Raw genomic sequence first — 13,637 nt, 5'->3', positions numbered from 1 at the left:
AAATAATTATTGTGTGAGGATATCAGCATTTCATAACCCTAATAAAATAATGAATCTGGCAAAGACCATGATTAGCTGCCAAATCCTTAGGGGACAGCTGGTGAGAAATTTCTTGCAGGATGGAGGAGGCTGACATAACCTAATCCCACTGATGAATTTACACATCCCAAAGGAGAGACCTCAGCCTCCCAGTGCCCCTGTGAGCTGCAGCAGGAAGAACACAGCAATAAGTGGGAAATAGTTTTGCAAAAACATCCAAATCTGATCAAGCCTCTAGATCTAATTATTAACTTACCCAGAACAAGATAGAGGAACAGCACCACAGGGTGTAGTCAGGCAAATCCACAGTGTAGAAAATTCTGCAGGGCAAATGACTGAGTTTCTTCAACATATAAATAACAAGGAGAAAAAAGAAGAAAGGAGAACTGTTGGTTGAGATAGGTAGATATGTTCATACACACCAAATATAAGGTGTACACTTGTTTATTTCCTTTTTTAATCACCTGAAGAGAATCAGGAAAATTTAAGTATTGACCAAATATTAGATGATATTTAGGAATTATTTTTCATATTTCTAGTTTGATAATGTAAAATGTTTATTTTTTTTAGTCTCTTTCACTTAGAGACACATAGTTAAGCATTTATGACTCAAATGGTATAAAAATCTGGATTGTCTTTTAACTAATCCAGTGGGAGGAAGGGAGAACTAAAGCAGGGATGGGAGGATATAAGTGAAACAATAAAAAAATTGTGGACAAATGCTTATATCTACTCTCCACAGATACTAATAAATTAGTTCTTTTTTTTTTTTTTTTTTTGAGACTGTCTCTGTCACCCAGGCTGGAGTGCTGTAGAGCAACCTCGGCTGACAGCAACCTCCGCCTCTCAGTTTCAAGCGATTCTTGTCTCATGCCTCAGCCTCCCGAGTAGCTGGGATTACAGGTGCATGCCACCACGCCCAGCTAATTTTTGTATTTTTAGTAGAGACGGGGTTTCACCATGTTGGCCAGGCTGGTCTCAAACTCTTGAGCTCAAGTAATCTGCCCACCTCCGCCTTCCAAAGTGCTGGGATTACAGGCGTGAGCCACCACACCCGGCTGAATAGTTCTTAATTCTATCCAAAAATAAGAATCACATACAGTTTCATGACAATAATTTTAATTTTTAATTTAAGATTACTTAAAATATATCCTAAATATTTTCCTCACCCCAAGCACAATGGACTGACAAAACCAACAGCCCCTCCCTGCAACCCTAGGGTTCCTGTTGGGGAAACAGCAGCTGAACTGAGTAGATCGCTGGGTCACCATGTCTCCCCAACCCCCAGCCTCAAGCCCCAGCCAGGTGTGCAGTCACACGGCTGCTCCTGTAAGGTCAGAAACCCAGTTACCTGACCACCCAGCTGCAGGAGTGTGGTCTCCTCCGCTCCAAGCAAATCTTGAGGGCTCAACACGATGTTTTCTGCTAATTTTCTTGACATCTTATGCCTATACCAACCTTTCAGATTGGAGATTCAAGGTAGACACCTTTCCCTGCTCCTTCTTGTTAAACCAACCCCCACCCCTTTTAGAATTCTTAGCCATATCCTTTTCCTGAAAGACTCTTGCCTTGACAATTTGGTTGAGACGTTCTCTCTGTCTTCCTGGCACGTGGAATAACCAACACCTCTAACAACAGATGTATTGTTGCTCATTGCTTGTCAAACTTAGCCAATCTGAAATCACTGTCACCACAGACAACAGGCTTCTAAAGATTTGGGACAGACAAAAAAGCCAAAAATCCACCATCTATTCAGCACCAAGAGCCCTGTGGGTGCTTAAGCACAGTGGACAATCAGTGATTGAGACACTGCTGGCCAGTGGCTGTCCTGTTCATGGTGACCTGTCACCCTGCTGAGGGACACAGGATGGTGAAATAGAGCCAGCCTGAGCTTTGAAATTAAACAGATATTGGTTTGGAATCAAATCAGCTTCTTACTATGTTTAATTTGGGCAATAACTTTTGCTTCCTGAGCCTCAGGTTCTTCCTTTGTGAGCTTGGTGACCTTGCCCCACTGGATTGCTGTAAAACAGCACATGCGGCCGGGGGCAGTGGCTCACACCTGTAATCCTAACATTTTGGGAAGCCGAGGCAGCGGGATCACCTGAAGTCAGGAGTTCAAGACTAGTCTGGTCAACATGGTGACCCTGTCTCTACTGAAAATACAAAAATTAGCAGGACATGGTGGCAGGTACCTGTAGTCCCAGCTATTCGGGAGGCTGAGGCAAGAGAATTGCTTGAACCTGGGAGGCAGAGGTTGCAGTGAGCTGAGATCACGCCATTGCACTCCAGCCTGGGTGATAAGAGCGAAACTCCGTCTCAAAAAAAAAAAAAAAAAAGACAGATGCAAGACCTGAGCACTAAGCCCCAGTGTGAGGGCCCTGGCAAGGGTCTTCATAAATTCCAGAAGGGCTACTTTGGCAGCCAAAGTGGATTTTTCTGGAACATTATGTGCATGCTCGAAGTAAACAGTTTAATTCATCTTCTCATCTTGTTCCAGAAGTCCTCATTTATCTTTTGGGGTTTCCGGCCTCACTCTCCAGCCCTGGAAGCCTTTGACCCCAGCCCCCTTCTGAGTTCAGGGCTCTTGCATTCAGTGGATCATGTGGCATCCCACATCCCCAGTCACTTATCTCGATAAGGCACCGTGGGAGGGAAAGCTTTGGCAAGGACCATTGCGTCTGCGACAGGGGTGCAGAATGAGGGAGGACAGTTACAAGGTTCTGCAGCTCTCTACTCATCTGAAAATGATGAACCATTTCCTGCCAAGACCAAGCAACTTGCTAAGTAATGATCTGGTAATGGCATCTGCTGTCCTCTGCCCAGCACATTTGTCTTCCTGTGTGGACACAGGAAAGGCTATAAATTAAGTCCGGCGCTCTTGCTCATCCCAAGGGTTCCTAGTTTGCTGCTGTTTTAAGGCCTGGTGGCTTGGAGTAGGTGCCAGTGGTGAAGGGTGCATGTGTTTGACAGGAGTTCCCAGGGATGTCTGGGGCAGAGGGTTGCCCTCAACCTTAGTTGAGGGCCGATAATGGGCCAAGAAGAAATGGACAAGGTCTCATTCCATTCAATCTCCTGGGCAACTCCAGGAGAAGGATGAGCTGGGCAGGATTACCGCCATTTGGGAGTGAAGAAACTGATGTTCAGAGCGGGTAAGTAATGCATTCAAGGTTGCACAACTAGTAAATGCTTCATCGGAGATTTCGACACAATCAGTTTGATTCCAAAACCACTATTTGTAACCACTGTGGTACACACTCCTAAACAAAGCCAGTGACTGTAGAATCTAAACAATGCAATTGGAGATACATACACATGTGGACAATTATGGCCATAATATACACAAAATTCACGGTTTCATGGAAGGGAGGAATGGGATCTTGGAAGAACACAAAGATAGCTTCTCAACTTGAGTGGTAAGTTCATGGATGTTCATGTTATATTGGATTTCATAACTCCTGTGTGTGTGTGTGTGTGTGTGTGTGCGTGTAGCAAACAGTATATAAAGAAAATATCTAATGCCTTTTTCAAGACCCAAACAGATGCCCTCAGGGTGAATAATTTTCACCAAGAAAGGTAAAGAAATTTATTCATCAGAATTATTGCACTGAATATGATACTAGGTGCTATTAGAGATTTAAAATACAGTTCCTGTCTGCCTGATATAATATAAGGAGCTGAGCCTAATGGGTATGAGAAATCATTTTAGAGGTTTCACAGAGGTCATCTGACCATTAATTTACTTTAAACGGATTTTCTCTAATCTAGAGAAAGGATGCTCAGAAAAAGACTAGAATCGCAAGCGCACTCCCTTGGCTGTGCTTTGTGGGTTGGGGCCTGACTCTCGCCGGGTGGGAGAGCTCCTGGGAGCTCTATTCCTGCTGCCCCGGCATCAGCAGCCATGGGGCTCAAGGAGACAATGGGTTGGGGAGGATCATGTGTCTCTTTCTGCTTCTTAAATCCTTTTGCAAAGGAGAGGAAAGGCCCTCTTCAGGATGGACCATCCCCAATGGTAAATCACAGTCAGTGCCATCCATGAGCATAGGAGCTGTTCACTGTGGCAAATACAAATTTAGTGTAAGTGCTCATCTTGGCTCCCCTGGTGGAAGGGCAGGTCCTTGAAGACAGGCACATCCCACCACGTCCAGCCTGGAAACTCCCTCAGAGTGCAGGTGCAAACGCATGTAAAATCATTGTAAAATTAATGCAGTGATGGCTGCCTTTAGCATTGCTGCATCCTCTATCCTAGAGAATTTCAGTGCCTGCTCACCTAGGCCTGGGCCTGGGCCCCACAGACAACACTTACCCTCGGGATTCCCCCCAGCCCCCTCTCTTCCTTCTGCCACCACCAATATCTCTCACATCTGATAATTATTTCTTCCTCTGGATGTGACAAGTGCTATCTCAGAAATCGGGCGGCAATATGTTCATGGCTAATAAGCCACTAGCAGCAGTGGGTATGCAGGACCCCAGGCACTTTCCACTCTGGGCTACCTCAGAGGCACGGTGTTGCACAGTGGTTTGGGATGGGCCGGAACCAGAGCCTTCTCATTCCGTCCTTCCTCACCCCCAGAGCATAAAGTAGCCCTATTCCTAAATGCAATGCTCTTTCAAACACCAGCTGCACACAATTGAAAATAGCCTGAGAAAGCCTGTTGTACGAGCGTTCACACCCCTGCCCATTCAGAGTGGGATGAAGAGCAAATGACACGTGCTCCCAGCTGGCCCTGAGGCTGGACACAGCCTGGACTGAGCCAGTGTCCTTGCCCCCAAAGAGGAGGCTTCCCCTGGCCTCACAGACATCTAAATTGTCTGATACTTTCCATCCCACACACTGTTTATGGCCCATCCACTCTCCTTTTTATTCCCAGAATGATATCTCCAGAACAAAGGAGAGAGTCAGTGGACAGCTTTGTGTTGACACACATAAGTAAATGGAAGGTGGGAAGGACAAGTGGCATAAGGAGGGAGAATCCGCCTGGGAGCGGATTCCCCTGGGCAGGGAGGTCGGCAGTGATGGTGGCACAGTGGGGGCCCGAGTGTGCCCTGAAGGTAAATTCCCCGTGGAGCACACCAACAGTTGCTGACCTGCATGTAAAAGTTTGCTCTTTGATTCCTTTGCTAGGGCTTCACTCAGGCACACAACTTCATGCTTGCTATTTGTTTTTGTTTGTTTGTTTTTTGAGAAGGAGTCTCGCTCTGTCGCCCAGGCTGGAGTGCAGTGGCGCGATCTTGGCTCACTGCAAGCTCCACCTCCTGGGTTCATGCCTCAGCCTCCCGAGTAGCTGGGACTACAGGCACCCACCACCACGCCCGGCTAATTTTTGTATTTTTAGTAGAGACGGGGTTTCACCGTGTTAGCCAGGATGGTCTCGATCTCCTGACCTCATGATCCACTCACCTCGGCCTTCCAAAGTGCTGGGATTACAGGCCTGAGCCACCACGCCCAGCCCACTGATATTTGTTATGTAATCAACTAATGACAAAAGAGTGCAGAGGCATGATGAGTGTTACATCTGCCAACTGCTGGGTTGTCTGAATAGATTCTCAAGCGACCATCTGAGGCCCACTCAGAAGTTTCAGTAGTGCCAGAAGGTCTTGACCTATTATTTTTAAATCAAGTAATTCTTAGGGTTTTTTTTAAGTAACTCAAACTAGGAAAAAAACGAGTCCTGGATAACCATTGTGTAGCAGCATCACTGCCAAGCCATTTGCAATAACAACTTCCCAGAAGCTCTTATCTGCCCCCAAATTACTCTTATCTGCCCAAAAGTAAAGAAAGTTTCAATTCAGCAAGTCAGAGCAATTCACAGAGAAGAAGCAATGCACTGACCTCTGGCACAGAAAACTAGAAGTTGGTCCTTCTCCATTTCTTCTGTTAACCAAGGTTCTCTTGGCATTTAATTTTACAAGGGCCAGAGACAACTCCAGGGATCTCAATGCAATCCTGCTTCTGGATGGGACAAAGAAGGCATCAGCCGCACAGGAGAAAATCACAGCTGTCCTTTCATTCTGTTCAAGCACACATGAAGCTCCTTCTAGGTTCATCCACTGTGTGCCAAACACCTGGGACAGTCAGAGAAGAATAATGATGCCAGCCTTCTAAGAGCTGGCAGACCAGTGAGAGAGCAGGCTCAAGACATGGCAGAGTCAAACACAGACAGAAAGCTATGGTATCTCAGAGGAAGATGATGAGATTTGGAAAGCTCCCAGAGAAGATGGGACTGGAGCTGGGCTGCTTAGCACTGAAACAGTGGATTTGGGGAGAATATTTGCATGCAAGTAAAATATGCAAAAGATGTTCAAAGAACAACCAAAAGTGGTAGAAATGTGGAGTGAGAAATACTGAAATGTCCACAGCTCAGGAAAACATGTTTTCCAACCAGCATCCCTGACCATTCCCCCTTCCCCAGGTCTAGGGCATCTAGAGCACCAAAATTACCAGCAACTCTCATCTTTCCTGACCCCTCCTTACTTCACTTTTGATCTAAAAGTACATTCCGGCCTCATCTAACCATTTAAAAAGCCATTTTCAGGTCCATGTCAGTGGCTCAATTGAGATACTGCAAGACAGTGTGGTTTTTCCTGAAGTCACAAGTTATCAATGAAGTTCAGAGTAAGTCCTGAACTGCAGAGGGAAAGTGTGCTGATCCAGGCAGAGTTGCCTAAATGAAAACGCTGGCCACCTTCCTCTCGGTCCCATATTGATCTCGAGTTGGAAGAGGTGAGTCCTGTCTCAAAATGGAGGTAAAACCGCCGCCTGGTTGCCCCCAGCCCGACTCCGGCAGTCGCCGTCGCCACTGGGGGGAGGAGGGCCATGATCCAAAGGAACCAGAGCAGCTGAGAAAACTGTTTATTGGTGGTCTGAGCTTTGAAACTACAGATGATAGTTTAAGAGAACATTTTGAGAAATGGGGCACACTCACAGATTGTCTGGTAATGAGAGACCCCCAAACAAAACGTTCCAGGGGCTTTGGTTTTGTGACTTATTCTTGTGTTACAGAGGTGGATGCAGCAATGCGTGCTCGACCATTCAAGGTTGATGGGCGTGTAGTGGAACCAAAGAGAGCTGTTTCTAGAGAGGATTCTGTGAAGCCTGGTGCCCATCTAACAGTGAAGAAAATTTTTGTTGGCAGTATTAAAGAAGATACAGAAGAATATAATTTGAGAGACTACTTTGAAAAGTACGGCAAGATTGAAACCATAGAAGTTATGGAAGACAGGCAGAGTGGAAAAAAGAGAGGATTTGCTTCTGTAACTTTTGATGATCATGATACAGTTGATAAAATTGTTGTTCAGAAATACCACACTATTAATGGGCATAACTGTGAAGTGAAAAAGGCCCTTGCTAAACAAGTGATGCAGCCGGCTGGATCACAGAGGGGTCGTGGAGGTGGATCTGGCAATTGTATGGGTCACAGAGGAAACTTTGGAGGTGGTGGAGGTAATTTTGGCCGTGATGGAAACTTTGGTGGAAGAGGAGGCTATGGTGGTGGAGGTGGTGGCAGCAGAGGTAGTTATGGAGGAGGTGATGTGGATATAATGGATTAGGAGGTGATGGTGGCAACTATGGCAGTGGTCCTGGTTATAGTAGTAGAGGCGGGTATGGTGGTGGTGGACCAGGATATGGAAACCAAGGTGGTGGATATGGTGGCGGTGTTGGAGGATATGATGGTTACAATGAAGGAGGAAATTTTGACGGTAGTAACTATGGTGGTGGTGGGAACTATAATGATTTTGGAAATTACAGTGGACAACAGCAATCAAATTATGGACACATGAAAGGGGGCAGTTTTGGTGGAAGAAGCTCGGGCAGTCCCTATGGTGGTGGTTATGGATCTGGTGGTGGAAGTGGTGGATATGGTAGCAGAAGGTTCTAAAAACAGCAGGAAAGGGCTACAGTTCTTAGCAGGAGAGAGAGTGAGGAGTTGTCAGGAAAGCTACAGGTTACTTTGAGACAGTCGTCCCAAGTGCATTAGAGGAACTGTAAAAATCTGTCACAGAAGGAACGATGATCCATAATCAGAAAAGTTACTGCAGCTTAAACAGGAAACCCTTCTTGTTCAGGACTGTCATAGCCACAGTTTGCAGGAAGTGCAGCTATCGATTAATGCAATGTAGCGTCAATTAGATGTACATTCCTCAGGTCTTTTATCTGTTGTAGCTTTGTCTTATTCTTTTTCTTTTCATTACATCAGGTATATTGCCCTGTAAATTGTGGTAGTGGTACCAGGAATAAAAAATTAAGGAATTTTTAACTTTTCAATATCTGTGTAGTTCAGTTTTTCTACATTTTAGTACAGAAACTTTAACAAAATGCAGTTTTGAAGGTGTTTCCTTGTGAGTTAACAAGTAAAGAAGATCAATTGTTAATTACTATTTTGTATAAATTTTGCTAAAGTTAACTGTAAAGAAACACCTGCTGACTTGCAGTTTAAGGGGAATCTATTCTCCCCATTTCCAAACCATGATATGAATGGACGCCGACATGTGGAGAGAACAGATAATTTGTGTGTTTGCAATGTGTGTTTTAGGTAAATAGGATTGGGTATTTAAATTAGCATTTGTGAATTTAATAGCATTAAGATTACCTTCAAATAAAAAAGTCTCAAAATTTCTTTTTGGTTTTTGTGCACTTTCTTTTAAAATGTAATCACATGATTTTAGTGTGTTAGACTTGCTGAGTCCTAGCTGTGTTTAGAACATCTCCATTCTACATTTACCTTGGTCAAATTTGAACTGCTGCCATAGGTTTTGGGTGTAAAGAATGTTTACTGCCCTCCATTTAAATTCTGAAAAGGTATAGTGGATGTTTTCCCTCTCCTACATTAGAAACCATTCTTAAAAACTTTTCAAAATATAGAACCATTAAGCCTGCTATATCTGAGCAAATTAGTGGGTACCTTTTTTCCTTTTTTAAAGCACAAGAGGCCCATAAATCTTGAGTTATTTGCATTAGTTTACATTTTTTGATACAACTTTTCAGACCAAGAGAATAAAAATCATGCGTTATTAAACCCCTAGCTGGCTGGCATGCTTTCCTGTTTGTACTGTATACATTTTGCTGGATGAAACCAAGGATAGTTTAGGTATAATTGTCCAAAATAACCTAACTGCAGCAGAAATGTAGGACAGTTGCTTAGTACAGGCTTCTCACTTCCTACAGACCTGAATTCAAATTTGGATAGTCTGAGTTATTAAATTCCCAAAGACAAAGAACACACTCTTATTTCTTGTGTATATTTCAACATAAATCATGTTGTTACCAATTTGTTGGGAAGGCCCTGGTTGAGAAGAGTTTTAGATAATAAGGCTGTATATATATAGATATATATAGATATATACCAATGTCTATATATAGAGATATTTTATATATATATATACAGGTATATATATGTGTGTGTATATATATAGGTATATACATATATACATATATATATATATATATATGGATATATACCCATGTCTACTGTTTTGCTTCAGCTAGTGCTTACAATTTCATTCAAGTCCTGAGTATGTGTCCTGCTGTTACTCCTTCTTTGGTAGTTGAACGTTGAATTCAAGTCTTTCCTTCTGTTTTAAGAAGTACTAAGCAAACAAGCAATAAAAAGGGGAATGGCGCATGCTAGTGTTTGAATATGCTCTCTTGTTGCTCTAATTCTGTGCCTCCGTGCATTAATATTTGGATGCATGCAATGCCAGCATGGAAATTGGCCTTCACACTTACTGCAGTTTTCCAGAAACACTCACAAGCCAATAAATGTAACAGACATTCCATTTTTAATGGGCATATATGTGAAAAGCAGTGTAGAAAATAGGCTAATATTAGAAAATGGTTAAGTCCTTAATAACTTCAAGTGTGGTTATATAATGGACACTGTCAATGTTCATAACTTAAACCTGGGTACCTGGTCAAAATAATGCTTGGGAAACATTAAAATTGAGCTAAATTGTCTCAAGTTCTTTTATTCATATAAATAAAGTTTAAATGAATGGGGGAGATTTTAAAAAAGAAGAAGAAAAGAAAAGAAAACGCTGGCCACAGGCCCTCAACATCCTGCACGGGCATTTCAGAAAGGCGGAAGGATTGCTGTGGGGCTCTTATACCTGGAACAGCTCTGCTAAGAGCTCCTCTCTGGTGAGGCAAGCATGATGAAAAGATTACTATAATTCATTCCTTTTTTTAAGTAAAGCAAACACATTAAAATAAGTTATATATAATTCACGACAAAACAGAATTGCTGGGACAGAAATGCATGTGGACATGGTATTTGAGCAAGAAATTTGCCAAATAATGAATTTAGTTTTATGCCCCAATAAATGCCTTTGTTTTCATTTCAAAGAGCAGGCTATGTCCCTCATGATTTCCAAAACACTATCTCAGCTAAGTTTGTTTTAGTTTAGTAACAAGTTAATGTTGTGTTCTCTGGTTTTGTAAGTTTTTTTGAAGGTGCAGCTGTCAATACATGTATTGCTAAATGAACTGCATGTTTAAAAAATAATTTACATCAATAAACCATAATGTCTTGATTACTTGGAGAAGGAATGGATACTACTGCTATATTTATCACTATCAATGTTTGAATAACTAACTTTAATGTCTTAAATTATTAGGCTAGATTGATTAGTTTTACAAGAAGTTCAAAGCATACAACTTATTCCCCAAAGTGGGTCTTACATGTAGATAATATTTTATTTTCCCTCTGTTTTCCTGTAGAAAAATTGTTCTAAATTCATTATAGAAAGTTACATGCCATTTAACTACCTGAAAGGTGATGTTAATGTGACAATTTTGTAAATATTTCTAAAATGCCCAGAATTATACTGTATGAATACATCATTATTTCTGGTATGTGGTAATAAAAATATTTTATTTGCATCATTTAGATTGGGTTTGTCTGCAAGTAACAGAGAACCTAACAGTGCTGGCTTATTTGTCTGCAGCGATGTTGGGGAAGCAGCCCACGGCTGATCTAGAGGCTCAACACCGTCACCAAGACCAGGCCCCATGAGTAGTCCTGCCCCGCCGTCCTCAGAGTGAGGCTCCTGTGCTGGGATCACAGGATGGCTGCTGTGCTCCCAGCATTTCCAGGGGCCAAGATGGGAGGAAGAAGATGGACGGCAGAGGAAGGACAGAGGCCAAAGGCACAAGCGAGCATTGTCAGATCACCAAAAAGATTTTTTTGCTTTAAGCCCCACCCCTAGTGACTTCTGATTCCATCCAAACACCCAAAATTGGGTCATATGTCCCCCGCTTAGCTATTAAGGTATCTGTAGAGTTAGATACTTTTCAGTAGGTATTGACATACAAGGGTGCTCTTAGGAAGTAGAGAAGAATGAACATTGACTAAGCAATTAGCTGTTTCTGCCACAATGTTGTGATTTTACTGACTTTTATTGCTTGTGGTAGAACCTTACATTGCATGGACTGGTTCTGGATTTCTTCTATTTCACGTACACAGGAAGGATACTTCCACACTCCCTTGAAGTCAGGCACAACCAGTGCCTGCCTGCAGCTAATGAAGGGTGGGCAGAAACGATGTGTGTAGCTCCCAGGCTGAAGTACCTAATGCAGTGCCTGACTGAGCCCTGCCTTCCCCACCACAGCAATCATGGAAATAAGTGTCAAGTTGGAGCGGTCTTAGAGTGATAAATACAAGCCAAGCTCTCCCACAACCCACAGTAGATGGAGCACTTGAGCAAGAAGCAAACCTTTGTTCTTTTAGCCCCCAGGACTTGGGGCTTGTTTGTTATCATCAAACCTGGCCTATCCTGACTGGTACAAATTGGCAGTAATTTCTCCAGTGTCCTCAATTAAATGTATGTATATGTTTGTTTAATAAATAAGTGGGGATATATTAAAATGTAGCATACATTTAAAAGCCAATAGCATTTCTTTAAATATAAAGGGTTGAAAAGTAAATGATCTATCCCTTTTTCACAGTTTACATCCTGGAATGACACTGGTTTAGATGAAAAGATAAGTATAGGGGCATAAGGAGGAAGAAGATTTGAGGAGTTAAAGTGGCTTTTTGAAGAGGATACGGAAGAAGATGAGGACCCCTACTAAGGAAGGTCCCTATTGATGGGAAGCAGTTATCCATCATGGAGAAGCTGGGCCCTCCTCCATCCTAATAAGCCCTAATAAACTGATTTTTACTGTTTGTTTTGAAATAATTTTAGACTTACAAAAATGTCACACCAATAGTCCAAAGGATCCTCCCTCGACTTCATTCAAAGCACAATCTCCTGCTTTTCCTCCTGCTGATCAGGAAATGTCTCTGCTTTCTTGGCAAGCTCATCCTTCTTTACGTACAGTTGGAATGTTAGAGCTCCTCAAGGCGGCCCCCAGGCCCCCTTCTCTGTGCCATCTGCACTCTGTCCTCAGAAGAACTAGTGTGCACCCAGGCCTTTGGTTACCGCACAGCATGGTAGTGACTCGCAAACATGTACCTTGAGCCAGACCACTCCTCACATTTCCAAGCTTTTGTCTGCATATTGTCCTTGGTATATCTAGTAATATCCAATTGTATACTTAATATTGGCTCTTCTCTGGCTCAAATGAACCTCACAGTAAAGTCCCAAACAGAACTTATTCCTTTCCCCATCTACCCACACCTGGCCTTCCTGTCTCCTGGTGTTTTCTGTTTCACTGAATGTTACTAGTGTGCACTGAAGGGTGGAAGCCATGGATCTCGCAGTGCTGCTCAGCATCTCTCCAACTTATCCTTCATATTCTACAACGAATGTCCCTTTTCTGGGGAAGCCCTTCCTGGCCTCCCAGACAGACCTAAAACTGCCCATGTCACCTTCACTGCACTTATGATACTTAGGATTTTATAATTATTTGTATAGTCACTTAATATTTGTCTCTTCAGTTAGGCCAGCCATCAGCTCATTGACAGAAGGACTGCTCTCTGATTCAGGGTGGGGTCCCCACCTCCTAACTCACAAGCTCAGTGCTCAGTAGGTGTCTATTGAATGAATATATGATGGACACCTTTCCAACATATGACTTTGCTCCTGAAAGTTCTGGATTCCCTTCCTCTCCTTGGTGGATCACTTAAGAGAGGGAAGATCAGTTCACTTCCCCTTCATTGAATCACTCTTGTGTATTCTCAAGAGATTTCATAAGGTCAGACAAAATCAACTTCTCAAGTTCAAGCCAGAACTCTTTTTTTACATTACCAGTATTTCAGAAACCGAGGTCCTCATTTGTTAAAAGACAAAGAGAACTCATCCTTGTCCAAGCCAACAGTGGACATAGAAGAGCATGAGCACACTTGGCCAAAGTGCATCCTAGGAGGAGGCCCAGCATACACAAAGGCCCTGAAGCCAGAGCTCACCTGGTATTTGCAGGAAGAGCAAGGCCTCCAGAGTCAGGAGTGGAATGGGTAGGGAGGAGAGGCTTTTCCAACACGAGAAGCCATGGGGCTATTTGAGAGCACCAGCAGAGGAGGTGCAGAGCTGAATGTATGTTTTAAAAGTCTTACCATAGCTACTATGTAGAGAAGACATTGCAGGGGCTGACTGCGAGGGAAGAATTGGGAGACAGCGCTGCTACCTCTCCTCCGCTACTCTCTGGCTCCCCTGAACAG

The 13,637-nt window shown here is 43.1% G+C and overlaps 1 long non-coding RNA gene and 1 pseudogene across 3 annotated transcripts in view; one reads left to right on the top strand and one right to left on the bottom strand.

The window, feature by feature from the left end:
* LOC105378275 (uncharacterized) overlaps nucleotides 1-13,637 on the bottom strand; it is a 39,799-nt gene that overhangs the window by 21,577 nt on the left and 4,585 nt on the right. The window contains exons 1-2 of one of the 2 annotated variants that reach the window (XR_945907.2): nucleotides 13,533-13,623; nucleotides 296-382 (exon numbers count right to left, since the gene is read on the bottom strand). This is a non-coding gene — a long non-coding RNA (uncharacterized LOC105378275). Of the gene's footprint in view, nucleotides 1-295; nucleotides 383-13,532; nucleotides 13,624-13,637 lie in introns of those variants that run through there. The other variant, XR_945906.4, reaches the window with a different exon arrangement.
* Nucleotides 6,751-9,756, top strand: HNRNPA3P1 (heterogeneous nuclear ribonucleoprotein A3 pseudogene 1; annotated as a pseudogene). Its single transcript, NR_002726.2, has one exon. The product of NR_002726.2 is annotated as a heterogeneous nuclear ribonucleoprotein A3 pseudogene 1 (transcript).

This window comes from Homo sapiens, chromosome 10, assembly GCF_000001405.40.
Source record: "Homo sapiens chromosome 10, GRCh38.p14 Primary Assembly".
NCBI lineage: Eukaryota > Metazoa > Chordata > Mammalia > Primates > Hominidae > Homo > Homo sapiens.
This window is presented reverse-complemented; position numbering and strand designations above follow the sequence as displayed.